Here is a 14,091-nt window from a genome sequence, read left to right on the forward strand (position 1 = left end):
TACTGATGTGTTGTCCGGCTGCCAGGCTACCAGGCAGTGGTTCAGGTCCTCAGCAAGGCTGACCTTGAGACCCTGGCGGGAGTAGCAGGGCGGGCTTCTTACCTCCGCAGCCCAGCCGTCTGGCTGCTCCGAGCCCCTTGTCCTTCCACTCCCTGCGGTGGCCGTGGAGAGGACATCGCCAGATGTTCCTGGGTGGACTGCCTTTATGATGCCACCCTCCCCTGCCCTTGGGGATGCATTTGAGTTTGCAAGGGGGTGGTTGAGCCGAGCGGCCCGCCGAGAACTTGAGGACAGGGCTCCACAGGCCTCATGCAGCCACTCGGGGCCTCCACGCCTTGTCTTGCATCTGAACCATCTGAACGCCACTCCCGGGGCCACACTGGAGGTGGTCACCGCTGGCCCGGCCCCCTTAACGGGAGGCCACAGGGAGGACTGTGGGTAAGGCCAGGTAGTGAGACCTTAGTCTGGGCAGCAGACTCCTGAGGGCCTTCTGAGTGGGGCCCCTTAACGGGCCTTCCCAGAGACCCAGGACCTGCTGGAAAGTCAGCCTCAACAGACGTCCCAGGGCCCACGGCTGTGGAAGGTGCCGGGGGTGCGCCAGCCCTAGGGTAGGGCTGGGCCTGGCGGGCCAGTGGGCGGTGATCTGGTTTGGTGGGCTCAACATTCCAGGACCTCCCTAAGGAGTGCGAGCTTTTCTTGTTCCTTGTCTAGTCAGAGTGAGGAGGGCTTTGACTGGGAGTGAGGGCACAGGGGCTGCGGGAGGAGGCGGTGGAGGGCAGATGGGCCGTGTGGAGAGGCCGGAGGCTGAAGGGGCTGGGTCCCCGGCGGAGGGGCAGAGAGGGCCAAGGACATGCCCAGCTCCTGGCCCAAGTGGCCCAGATGTGGGGACAGTGGGTGAGATGCTCAGGTGACAGTTGGGGATGCAGTCAGGGAGCTGGAGCTGAGGAGAGAGAACCCTGCGGGACAGAGGGGAGCTCAGTGGCTCAGGGCCTGCTTTGGGTCTTGGGTCATTTGCAGGAGTGAGTGAAGCACACATGTGGTTTGTGTCCAATTAATCTTGCTAGTGACAAATATAAGAAACCATTAGACAGAATGAAGCCCGCACCTTTTCCATGCAAAAATTAATGGCTTTTTCAGAGAAAATTTTCAGAAAAATTCAAAGAAATGATGGCCAAACATTCAAATTATGACAAAAAAGACAGTAAACTGTTTTTACTCTCAAATACAATAAAATTTTACTGAGAAGGCTGTCATGATTTAGCTTGAAGAAGAACTTAAAATCATGCCACAGGCCATTTCTCCTTTTGGCCGTGAGTAATGGGGTACAGGATGGATTTGCCTTCTCACCTTGAACAGTGAGAAAATGACAAAATATGTGAAACGGCAGTTTTCAGACACTGGACAGCAGGCAGCACAGGACCGTGATGTCAAGAAAGGAAAGAAATGAGGTGAGCCCGACCGCCCGCCTTGCTCACAGCATAGCTTGCAGGCCAAAGGGCGGAGCGGCTCCCACGGGGTTTGGTGATGTTGCCGAGTTGAGGCCCAGATCAGAGTTTGGGGAGGCCAAAGCAACTGGAATTTGCAGAGTGAAGCAGCGGTGAGGAGAGCACCACACACACAGCCCCAGCGCCGGCAGAGGACCCCCTGCACACACGCGAGGAAGCCAGGGGAGGCAGGAAAACCACCCGCAGAACGCTGGAGCCGAGCATGCCTCGGATGTGATACAGGCCTGGAAATGCTTGCACCCCCACTGGCTGAGGGAGAAAGGCTCGTGGTGCACAGGACACTGGATGGTCCTCAGAAGGGAACTGCCGATGAGTAGGGCACCATCAGCCCACAGCCCTGCCTCCCCTCCCGCTGCAAAGCTTGGGTCTGGTTTTCTCACTGTCCGAGGTGAGAAGGCAAACCATCCTGTACTCCTATCGCTCACGGCCAGAAGCAGCCTGTGGCATAATTTTAAGTTCTTCCTTAAGCTATCAATTATAAGGCAATTTCTTTCTTTCTTTTTTTTTTTTTTTTTTTGGAGATGGAGTCTCGCTGAGTGCAGTGGTGTGATCTTGGCTCACTGCAACCTTCTCCCGGGTTCAAGCAATTCTCCTGCCTCAGCCTCCTGAGTAGCTGGGATTACAGGCATGTGCCACCACACCTGGCTAATTTTTGTATTTTTAGTAGAGACGGGGGTTTTGCCATGTTGGCCAGGCTGGTCTCGAACTCTTGACCTCAGGCAATCCGCCTGCCTCAGCCTCCCAAAGTGCTGGGATTACAGGTGTGAGCCACCGTGCCTGGCTGGGAATTTCTTAGTAAATTAGGCTACCTGAAAACTAGGAACCTCTATTCATCCAAAGACACCTTGAAGAGAGTGAAAAGGACAAATAATTTGGACTCAAAATGTATAGTAACTATTATAAGTCAGAGAAAAAAGATGGGCAACCCAATAAAGAGCAGGGAAAGTGAACAGGTGCGTTGCAGGAGGGTGTCCAAGTGACCAAACACCTTTATGAAAACATGCCCAATATCATTTGTCAAAAAAAGAGAAGTGCAAATTAAAACCATAATGAGATACAACCATACCCACCAAGGTAGCTAAAACTAGAATCCTTGGCTTGGCAGGTGAGAGTATAGTGGTTCAACTATTTTGGAAAAAGTGGCAGAATTTACCAACGCTATACATATGCCTACCTCGGACCCAGCAATTCTACTCCCAGCTTTATACCCAAGAGAAACAAGTGCATTCAGCCCTTCAAAGGCATGTCCAAGACTGCTCATAGCAGCTGTATGGGTAAAATCTCCACATGGAAAGCAACCTCATGGCCCTCGACAACAGAATGGGTGAATAACACCTGGTATGTTCGAGCCCTGGGCTAGGACATGGCAAGGGAAAAATAAATGACTACACTTCATAAAACATGGATGATTCTCCAGACGTCGCAATGAGCAAAAGTAGCCAGACACCAAAGTCTACATGCCGTAGGATTTCAAAAGCAGGAAAAAGCGATCCATGACAGCAGAAATCACAACACTGGTTACCTCTTGGGGGGAAGGTATTAACTAAGATGTTCAAGGAAATGTCTTCCACCTGTCTCCAAAAAAAAAAAAAAAAAAAGGCCAGGCATGGTGGCTCACACCTGTGGTCCCAGGCTTCCAGGTAATAGATGGATTCAGGGATTTTCTGGTTGCCAGTTGATTGAAAGAGTTATCTGAAGACCTGGAATCAGGCTGGGAGCAGTGGCTCACGTCTGTAATCCCAGCACTTTGGGAGGCCGAGACGGCTGGGATCACCTGAGGTCAGGAGTTGGAGACCAGCCTGAACTGGTGAAACCCCATCTCTACTAAAAATACAAAAAAATAGCCAGGCACGGTGGTGTGCACCTGTAGTCCCAGCTACTCTGAGGGAGGAGGCACAAGAATTGCTTGAACCTGGGAGGCAGAGGTTGCAGTGAGCTGAGATCGCACCGCTGCACTCCAGCCTGAGAGAGAGAGCAAGACTCTGTCTCCTAAAATAAAATAAATAAATTTGGTCACTCTACATATGTATGTTATACTGCATACAAATTTGAAAAAAATAAGGATAGAAAATATCTAATAGCATCAAATTGTTCCTAATATCCTCTTGTCTTTCTCGCCTCTGTAGGAGCCGCTGACGCTCTCATTTTCACTCCTGATGTTGGTGATTTGTGCCTTTTCTCGCTCTTGTTTCATTCTTGCTGTGGTTTGCCAGTTTCAATACTCTTCTCATAAAACCAACTTTTTGGTTTTACATATTTTCTGTTGCCTGTTTATTGTTTTCTCTTTCATTGATTTCTGCTGTTAGTTTTAATTTTCTTTTTGTTTGTTAGCTTTTTTCTTTTCTTCCCTATCTGGGGTTTCTTTCCTACTCCTTTCTTTCCTTCGTGACATGGACAGTCACTGATTTTTCTGCGAATCTTCTTTTCTAATACACAGATTTAAAGCTATACATTTCCTTCTAAACATAATTTTAGCTGATACCATAAGGTTTGATATATTTTCATCACTATTTAGGTAAAACAATTTCTAGCGTTTTGTGATTTCTTTCTTGGCCTGTCAGTTATTTAGATGTGTGTTGTTAAATTACCAAACATTTGAGAATTTTCTGGTTAGTCTTTTGTTATTGATTTGTAGCCTCTTTTCACTATGGTCAGAATATATGCTTAAAATTATTTCAGTCACTTGAAATGTATAGAGAATGACTTACGGCCCAGTATATGGACACTTTTGATAATTATTACATGTGCCCTTGAAGAGAATATGTAAACTTCCAATTTTTTTTGGAGAGGTGTTATTTTTTGTCAATTTGACCAGCTTCATAATTTATGTTCAAATAATCTATATCCATATGAATTTTCTTCCATCTGCTTATTCTACTAGTTACTGAAAGGACTGTGTTGAAGTCGCCGCCGTGATAGCAGATCTCTCTATTTCTCTTTTCAGTTCTGTAAGTTTTTATTTTGTTTTATTTTATTTTATTTTTTGAGACGGAGCCGCACTCTGTAGCCCAGGCTGGAGTGCAGTGATGTGATCTTGGCTCACTGCAACCTCCACCTCCTGGGTTCAAGCCATTCTCCTGCCTTAGCCTCCCGAGTAGCTGGGATTACAGACTCCCACCACCACACCTGGCTAATTAAAAACCCCATCTTTTTAAATAGAGATGGGGTTTCACCATGTTGGTCAAGCTGGTCTCGAACTCCTGACCGCAAGTGATCTCCTGCCTTGGCCTCCCAAAGTGCTGGGATTACAGGTGTGAGCCACTGTGCCAGGCCTATAAGTTTTTCTTTATGTATTTTGAAGCTATGCTATTAGGTGCATACAATTTAGAATTATTAACTTCCCGGTCGATGAGCCCTCTTATCATTATGAAGTCTCCGTTATCTCTAGTTGTTTTTTTATCTGAAGTCCAGTTTGTCTCGCATTATTATAGTTCTGCCAGCTTTTTTTCTAGTTAATGTTATCATGATTTATTTTTTCCATCCTTTTATTTATTTATTTAAACCAACTCACTTCAAAGAATTTCTGTCCTTTTAACGACATTTTTGTGGGGCTTGTTTTAAAACATTCAGTCTGACAATATTTCTTGTAATTGGAGTATTTTTAGTATACATCTATTATATTTATCAATGTACTTAGGTTTAAATCTGCTATATTACATCTGCTATTTGTTCTTTTTTCTCCCTTTTTTTTTTCCTTTTTTAGGATTAATTAAAATATTTTATTTTACATCCTCCGATTTGCTTGTTAGTCATACTTTTACTGTACTAGTAGCAATTACCCAAACAATTATAAAATTAATCCTTCACTAATTATGGTCTAAGGCAAATTGTTCTTTTTACTACTTTCTGGCAATTATACAATTATAATTATAAAATCATTTACAATTATAAAATGTAATTATAAAATTCATCCTTCACTTACCAGGGCCTAATGTAAATGTGTACTTTTATCACTTCCTGGACAATGTAAAGACCTTCTAACGCTTTATTTATTTATTTATTTTTTGAGACAGAGTCTCGCTCTGTCGCCCAGGCTGGAGTGCAGTGGTGTGAACTCGGCTCACTGCAACCTCTGCCTCCTGGGTTCAAGCGATTCTCCTGCCTCAGCCTCCGGAGGAGCTGGGGCTACAGGCATGTGTCACCATGCCCAGCTATTTTTTTTTTTTTTTTTTTTTAGTAGAGACGGGATCTCACCATGTTGGTCAGGCTAGTCTTGAACTCCTGACCTCAAAGGATCCACCCGCCTTGGCCTCCCAAAGTGCTGGGATTACAAGTGTGAGCCACCACGCTCTGCCCTTCTAACGCTTTAAATCCATCGGCCTCTCCCCCACTTTTTGTGCTGTCATTCTCAGGTATTTCAGTTCTGCACAATGTTAAACCACACAATAAATCATCTTATCATTTTCTACAGCCGGCGTGCATGGAAACGCACTGGCGTGTTTCTTCTCTGCTGCTCTTTTATTCTTTCCCTCCTGCATTTCCATGTTTCCATCCAGGACCATTTTCCAAAGGCCTCCATTGTGATTTGTCTTGTTTATTAGTGCATGTTTGCTGTAAGGAATTCTCTCAATTCACTGGGGAGGGTGTCTGAAAATGTTTTTGTTTTGCCTTTCCCTTTCACTTGAAATAGCATCCCAAGTTGGCAGTTATTTTCTCTTGGTACTTAGAGAATGTTGTTCCATTGTCTTCTGGCTTTCAGTGCTTACGTGGAGAAGTCAAGAGCCTCATTATTGCTTCTTTGAAGGTGGCATCTTGTTTTTTCCTGGCTGTTATTTGTTTAATTTATTTTTATTTTTGTAGAGACAGGATCCTCCTGTCTCGGCCTCCCAAAGTGTTGGGATTACAGGCGTGAGCCACTGTGCCCCACCTCCTGTTACTGCTTTTCTCCTAGTTAGTGGGTTTTCAGTGGTTTTACTACAATGTGCTTAGGAGTATCTTTGTATTTCTCTATCTTGAAATGTGTAGCACTTCTTGCATACGCAATTGGTATGTCTTTCATTGGTTTTGGAAAAGTTGCACTCATTTTCTCTTCAGATATTGTTCTGCCCCATTTGCAATCTCCCTTCTTGGATTTGAGTGACAGATGTGGTAGGCCTGTTGACGGCACCCTGTGTGTCTCTGATGCTATGTTCCGTGCAGTTTTCTCTGCGTGCTTCAGTCTTCTGTCGGCTGCTGACCTCAATCGGTGCTTGTTAATCCTCTCTTGAGTTCTGTCCACTAACAGTCTGTTAACCCATCTGTCACAGTCTTTACCTTGGTTATTGTATTCTTAGTTCTAGAGTTTCTATTTGATTTTTTCAAGATTTCATTTCTCTAGTGAAAATTTCCATCTCGCCGCTTATTTCTCAGAGCAGTCATCAGAGTCACTTCAAAGCTCCAACAGTTTCATCCCCTGCTTTTACACTTGGGTCTATATATTTTTTAATGTGTCTGGTGACTCTTGGTTTAAAACGACAGACACTGTGGAAAAAAAGTACAATCTCTGGATGATATTGTGGCCATCAGAGAGGACCCGCCCTGTCCTCTGCCACAAAGCAGGGACAGATCACCAGTCAAGTCATGACTGAGCTGTCTAGGACAGGCTGTAGACATGGTAAGTCTGGTTCCACCTCTTGTTTGCCCTCTGATTTACCTCTTTGTCGTGCTTCTAGGGCACACCCCTCTGGGGTCTCAACTGCAAGCCAGGAGAGTTTAGCAGTACCTCCCTCCTCCCTCCTCCTTTGAAGGAAGTCCTGGGCTCAATTTTGCTTCCCCCGAGCCATAATAGAGTGAAGTTTCACTGAACTCTTCAACCACTCAATGCTCAGCCTCTTAGCTGAGGTGAACGTGACTCTCATGTCGGGTGAGAATTAGCCACTGCCTCAAGAGGAAAACCAGCACAGGAAGTCCGGCTCTCTTCTCAGATCCTCTATTCTCTGAATAATTTCCACCCCAATCCTGGTGGTCCTGGCAGGGTTGAGAGCCAACGTCTATCTCCTGAGACTTGTGAGTTTGCCAGAATCTATTACGCATGTCTTTTCTGCCTCTTAGCAACCATCCTCTGCCCAACTTCTCAGCCCCTCACCCTCACTGCTTAATCTCTACCCCTTGAAACAGCTAGAATTGTCAGCTAAAAGTAAAATCAAAATTAGACATCATTATAGGCAAGAAAGGGAAATCCCCATATGCCAGAAATGGAGTGGGAACCGCGAGCCAGGACGCGCAGGGAGCTGACGCTGCAGGTGGGAACCGAGAGCCAGGACGCGCAGGGAGCTGACGCTGCAGGTGGGAACCGAGAGCCAGGACGCGCAGGGAGCTGTCGCTGCAGGTGGGAACCGCGAGCCAGGACGGGCAGGGAGCTGACGCTGCAGGTGGGAACCGCGAGCCAGGACGGGCAGGGAGCTGTCGCTGCAGGTGGGAACCGCGAGCCAGGACGGGCAGGGAGCTGTCGCTGCAGGTGGGAACCATCAGCCAGGACGCGCAGGGAGCTGTCGCTGCAGGTGGGAACCATCAGCCAGGACGCACAGGGAGCTGTCGCTGCAGGTGGGAACCATCAGCCAGGACGGGCAGGGAGCTGACGCTGCAGGTGGGAACCGAGAGCCAGGACGCGCAGGGAGCTGACGCTGCAGGTGGGAACCGAGAGCCAGGACGCGCAGGGAGCTGTCGCTGCAGGTGGGAACCGCGAGCCAGGACGGGCAGGGAGCTGACGCTGCAGGTGGGAACCGAGAGCCAGGACGGGCAGGGAGCTGTCGCTGCAGGTGGGAACCGTCAGCCAGGACGGGCAGGGAGCTGTCGCTGCAGGTGGGAACCATCAGCCAGGATGCGCAGGGAGCTGTCGCTGCAGGTGGGAACCGCGAGCCAGGACGGGCAGGGAGCTGTCGCTGCAGGTGGGAACCGTCAGCCAGGACGGGCAGGGAGCTGACGCTGCAGGTGGGAACCGAGAGCCAGGACGCGCAGGGAGCTGTCGCTGCAGGTGGGAACCATCAGCCAGGACGGGCAGGGAGCTGACGCTGCAGGTGGGAACCGCGAGCCAGGACGGGCAGGGAGCTGACGCTGCAAGTGGGAACCGAGAGCCAGGACGCGCAGGGAGCTGTCGCTGCAGGTGGGAACCATCAGCCAGGACGGGCAGGGAGCTGACGCTGCAGGTGGGAACCGCGAGCCAGGACGCGCAGGGAGCTGACGCTGCAGGTGGGAACCGAGAGCCAGGACGCGCAGGGAGCTGTCGCTGCAGGTGGGAACCATCAGCCAGGACGGGCAGGGAGCTGACGCTGCAGGTGGGAACCGCGAGCCAGGACGGGCAGGGAGCTGACGCTGCAAGTGGGAACTGAGAGCCAGGACGCGCAGGGAGCTGTCGCTGCAGGTGGGAACCATCAGCCAGGACGGGCAGGGAGCTGTCGCTGCAGGTGGGAACCGCGAGCCAGGACGGGCAGGGAGCTGACGCTGCAGGTGGGAACCGAGAGCCAGGACGCGCAGGGAGCTGTCGCTGCAGGTGGGAACCGAGAGCCAGGAAGCCCAGGGAGCTGTCGCTGCAGGTGGGAACCGCGAGCCGGGACGGGCAGGGCAGGGAGCTGACCCTGCAGGTGGGAACCGAGAGCCAGGACGCGCAGGGAGCTGTCGCTGCAGGTGGGAACCATGAGCCAGGACGGGCAGGGAGCTGTCGCTGCAGGTGGGAACCGCGAGCCAGGACGGGCAGGGAGCTGACGCTGCAGGTGGGAACCGAGAGCCAGGATGGTCAGGGAGCTGACACTGCAGGTGGGAACCGAGAGCCAGGAAGCCCAGGGAGCTGTCGCTGCAGGTGGGAACCGCGAGCCGGGACGGGCAGGGCAGGGAGCTGACCCTGCAGGTGGGAACCGAGAGCCAGGACGCGCAGGGAGCTGTCGCTGCAGGTGGGAACCATGAGCCAGGACGGGCAGGGAGCTGTCGCTGCAGGTGGGAACCGCGAGCCAGGACGGGCAGGGAGCTGACGCTGCAGGTGGGAACCGAGAGCCAGGACGCGCAGGGAGCTGTCGCTGCAGGTGGGAACCATGAGCCAGGATGGTCAGGGAGCTGACACTGCAGTATCTCTGGGACGTTTATGGGCCCAGAAATAGCCCTACTGGCTAAGCACCCGAGATGTTCCAGCCACCCGGTCAGGGGATGAGGCCTTATGCTAGGAGAGGGGAGAGATGACATTGAGAATCCTGCTCCGAGATGTGTGTTCAAAGGGCAGGGAAAGGGGCCAGATAAACTTGACTTGTGGCTCCAGTGAACAGGCAAGGAAACTTGTCTATCCCCTGACTGTGGGTGAGAAGGAAAATTCCACAGTGAGAAATTGAAACCTCAGGGAAAGTTGACCAACTAATTAACAGAGCTGAAGAAACAACTTGCAAATGGGAAGGTTGATCATCAGAAATTAGGCAGATGCAGGAATGGGATGAAGACATGTAAAATGTCAAAGGAGATTATGAGGCATGGAAGATAGAATGAAAATCTATTTAATGAGTTTTACAGGATGAGGATAAAGAAATAAGAGGAGTCGATATTCAAAGAGATAATGGCTGAGATCCTTACAGAAATAACCAAAAGCATAAATCCTTAAGTTTAAGCTGCACGAGTCCCAAGGAGAATGCATAAGAATAAATCTAACCTGAACACAGCATGTTGAAACTGCAGAACTCCAAAGACAAAGAGAAAACCTTAAAAGCAAACAGAGATAAGAGAAACTGTTTTCAAAGGAACAACAATTAGCTTGGTGCATATTTCTCCACAGCCACATTATGTTTCAGAAGTCAGTATCTTCAAATTGTAAGAATATAACAACCAATACCCAACTTAAGTATTATTCAAGAGTGAAGGAGGGAGCAGGGCACAGTGACACATGCCTATAATCCCAGCACTTTGGGAGGCCAAGATGGGAGGATCACTTGAGCCCAGGAGTTCCAAACCAGCCTGGGCAACGTAGTGAGACCTTGTCTCTACAAAGAATAAAAAAATTAGCTGGACATTGTGGTGTGTGTCTGTAGTCCCAGCCACTCAGGAGGCTGAGGTGGAAGGATGGCTTGAGCCTGGAGGTCAAGGCTGTGCTGAGCCGGGATCACACCACTGTACTACAGCTTGGGCAACAGAGTAAGACCTTGTTTCCTAAAAAAAGAAAAAAGTGAAGGAGGAATAGCTATTTTCAGACAATAAAACCTGGCAATTTACCACTGTTAGAGCCATGATGAAAGAATCACTTAAGGATAATAAACTTTAGGAAGAAAAAACCCTTTAATTCAGAATTCAGAAGGAAGTTGGGGCATGCAAGAAGAAATAGTGAGTAAAGAAACTGGTAAATATGTGGTAAATCTAAATAATCATTGAATGTTAAAAAGTTATAATGGCTATGAAAGTTTATACCAAAAGGTAAAACTAAAATACTAAGGAATAAAAGCCAGCATCCCTCAGGAAGCAGTTGGAGCAAAACATTCTGAGCCCTTTTTGCTGTTCAAAAGGGTGGAGAGATGAAGTCTAGACTTCTGAAAGTCAAGTATCATGTTACAAATATAAACGTAGCCACTAACAGCACAGAAAGATAATGGGTTCTTTTCTGTCAGCTGTATTGTAGGTTCCCAGGAACCAGCAAGTATGATAAAACCTTTAAGCTTTCCTGTTCTGTCTCCTCATCTGCAGCTGGTCCTACCATTCCTCCCCTAAGGTAACATGATTAAAGCAGGGAGAAGGACCACAGCCCTGAAAAGTTCTGCACTCTCAAAGGGAAAGGGAGAAGTGAACGTGTGGGAGACCCTGGAACAGCAGGTGCTGCCTGGCCATGCAGTGGCCTCATTATCAAGGGGAGCTTCTGGATCTCAGGACTTAATATCAACTTGTTCTCTTATTAGCCTCATTTGGAACTGTTGAACCAGCGTCTTACCAAGCTACAGGCAGAGATGAAAGTGAGACCTCAGCCCACCTGGGTGTATCTCTCTTCAGTCTCCCCTTGTTTCACGTGGTCTCAGGGTTGACATTTATGTTACAGCTGACCATTAAAGAATCTAAGTAGGCCAGGTGCAGTGGCTCACACCTGTCATCCCAGCACTTTGGGAGGCTGAAGCAGGCAGATTGCTTGAGCCCAGGAGTTTGAGACCAGCCTGGGTGACATGACGAAACCCTGCCTCTACCAAAAAATATAAAAATTACCTGGCTGTGGTGGCACACACCTGTGGCCCCAGTGACACAGGAGGCTGAGACAGGAGGATCATTTGAGCCTGGGAGGTTGAGGCTGCAGTGAGCCGTGATCATACCATTGCACTCCAGTCTGGGTGACAGAGTGAGACCCTGTCTCAAAAAAAAAAAAATTAGAATCTGTAAGTAAAGAATTAGAGAAATTCATTCAAAGTTTTGTGGGTTGATGGTGACCCCTGCAGAAGCAGAAAGGCAAGCATCTCCAATCCAGGGCCCTCAATGCTCCCATGCAGCAAAGCCTGGCAAATATGAGCTCACATCAAAAGTTGTTTTTTTTTTGTTTGTTTGTGTTTTTTTTTTTTTTTGAGACAGAGTATCACTGTGTCATGCAGGCCGGAATGCAGTGGTGTGATCTTGGCTCACTGCAAGCTCTGCCTCCCAGGTTCACGCCATTCTCCTGCCTCAGCCTCCCGAGTAGCTGGGACTACAGGCACCTGCCACCACGCCCGGCTAATTTTTTGTATTTTTAGTAGAGACAGGGTTTCACCGTGTTAGCCAGGATGGTCTTGATCTCCTGACCTCATGATCCGCCTGCCTTGGCCTCCTAAAGTGCTGGGATTACAGGCGTGAGCCACTGTCCCCGGCCCAAAAGTTATCAAGCAGCAACACCAGCAAAAAATGACAGATGGACACAGTACTGGAAGATGCAAAAGGAACAAAAGAGCATGGGATACAGCCAGAGTCAGAAAAACATCACATGGAAAACTATAATGACTGAAAATAAAGATCTTTCAAAACCTCAATGAAAGAGTTAAACAGCAGATTAGACACAGTTAAAACAAGAATTAGTCAACTGTAAGAAAGATGAGAAGAAATTACCCAAAATGCAATACACAGGAACATGGTGGGAATAGAAAATGTGAAAGACATGTTAATAGGCATAGAAGACTGCGTGACAACATATAACATACATCTATCTGGAGTTTCTGAATGAGGGAGTCGAAAGGATGAGACACAGGAAATATTCAAAGAGATCAGGCCAGAATTTTCCAGAACTGGGAAAGACACATACCATGGATGAAATTGTCTCTCAAAAGATGTTAAAGTCCTGATGCCCAGTGCCTGTGAATGTGGCCTTATTTGGAAATAGAGCCTTTACAGATGATCAAGGTAAGATGAAGTAATTGGGGGAGATCCGGTAAACCAAAAATAAAAACCTAAGCTCCCGACTGACTGATGGATCCCCCCCTCAGCAAAGGGCATTCCAAAGTTAACCTAAAAGACTAGCTCAGGCCATGATGCGAATTAGGGGTCAGATGCTTCATTATACCCTCTTCCCTTTGGAATTCTGGCACAGCTGACCAGCATTAACATTTCAACAGAAAGATTAAAATTAGGACTGATAGAACAGACTATTGAAGTCTGATAAGAAACATCTGCAATCCATTCTCTCTGAAGTCTGCTACCTGGAAGGCTTCATCTGCATAGTAAGAACCCTGGTCTCTACAACCGTTATCTTAACCTAGACACCCCCTTCTATTGATTCCAGGTCTTTAGATAACTCTTTTTTTTCTTTTTTTTTTTTTGAGATGAAGTCTTGCTCTGTTGCCCAGCCTGGAGTGCAGTGGTGTGATCTCGGCCCACTGCAACCTCCACCTCCCAGGTTCCAGCGATTCTCCCACCTCAGCCTCTGGTGTAGCTGGGATTACAGGCATGTGCCACCATGCCTGGCGAATTTTTGTATTTTTAGTAGAAATGGGGTTTCATCATGTTGGCCAGGCTGGTCTTGAACTCCTAACCTCAGGTGATCCTCCAAACTTGGCCTCCAAAAGTGCTGGGATTACGGGTGCGAGCCACCATGCCTGGCCTATATTAACTCTTTCAACCAACTGGCAACCAGAAAATCCTTGAATCCATCTCTGACCTCGAAGCCCCCACTTCAAGTTGTCCCACCTTTCCAGACCAAACCGATGTACATCTTACATGTATTGATTGATGTCTTATGCCTCCCTAAAATGTATAAAACCAAGCTGTAGCCCGACCACCTTGGAAACATGTCTCAGGATCTGCTGGGGCTGTGTCACAGGCCATTAGGCACTCATATTTGGCTCAGAATAAATCTCTTCAAATAGTTTACAGAATTTGACTCTTTTTATTGACAACCCTAATCCCATGTGACTGATGCCTTATGGTAGGGGAAATTTGAGACAGACATGTACAGAGGGAAGGCATGAAGACACAGGGAGAATTTCATCTATAAGCTAAAGAACACCTGGGGCTACCAGAAATTATGAGAGAGCCACAGGATCCTCCCTCACAGCCTCAGAAGGAATTAACCTTGCCGACACCTTGAGTTTGGACTTCCAGCCTCTGGAACTGTGAGACAATACATTTCTGTTGCATAAACTACTCAGTTTGTGAACTTCACTACAGCAACCCTAGAAATGAATACAACATATATCCACAG

The 14,091-nt window shown here is 48.1% G+C and overlaps 1 annotated feature.

Annotated features, from left to right (window-relative positions):
- Positions 8,630-9,253: an enhancer, noted in NCBI's record as "H3K27ac-H3K4me1 hESC enhancer chr14:105372467-105373090 (GRCh37/hg19 assembly coordinates)". NCBI's record gives its function as "activates a minimal SCP1, AML or CMV promoter by ChIP-STARR-seq in naive H9 embryonic stem cells {active_cell/tissue: H9 hESC(naive)}" and the evidence as "EXISTENCE:reporter gene assay evidence [ECO:0000049][PMID:30033119]".

This window comes from Homo sapiens, chromosome 14 (genome assembly GCF_000001405.40).
Source record: "Homo sapiens chromosome 14, GRCh38.p14 Primary Assembly".
Lineage (NCBI taxonomy): Eukaryota > Metazoa > Chordata > Mammalia > Primates > Hominidae > Homo > Homo sapiens.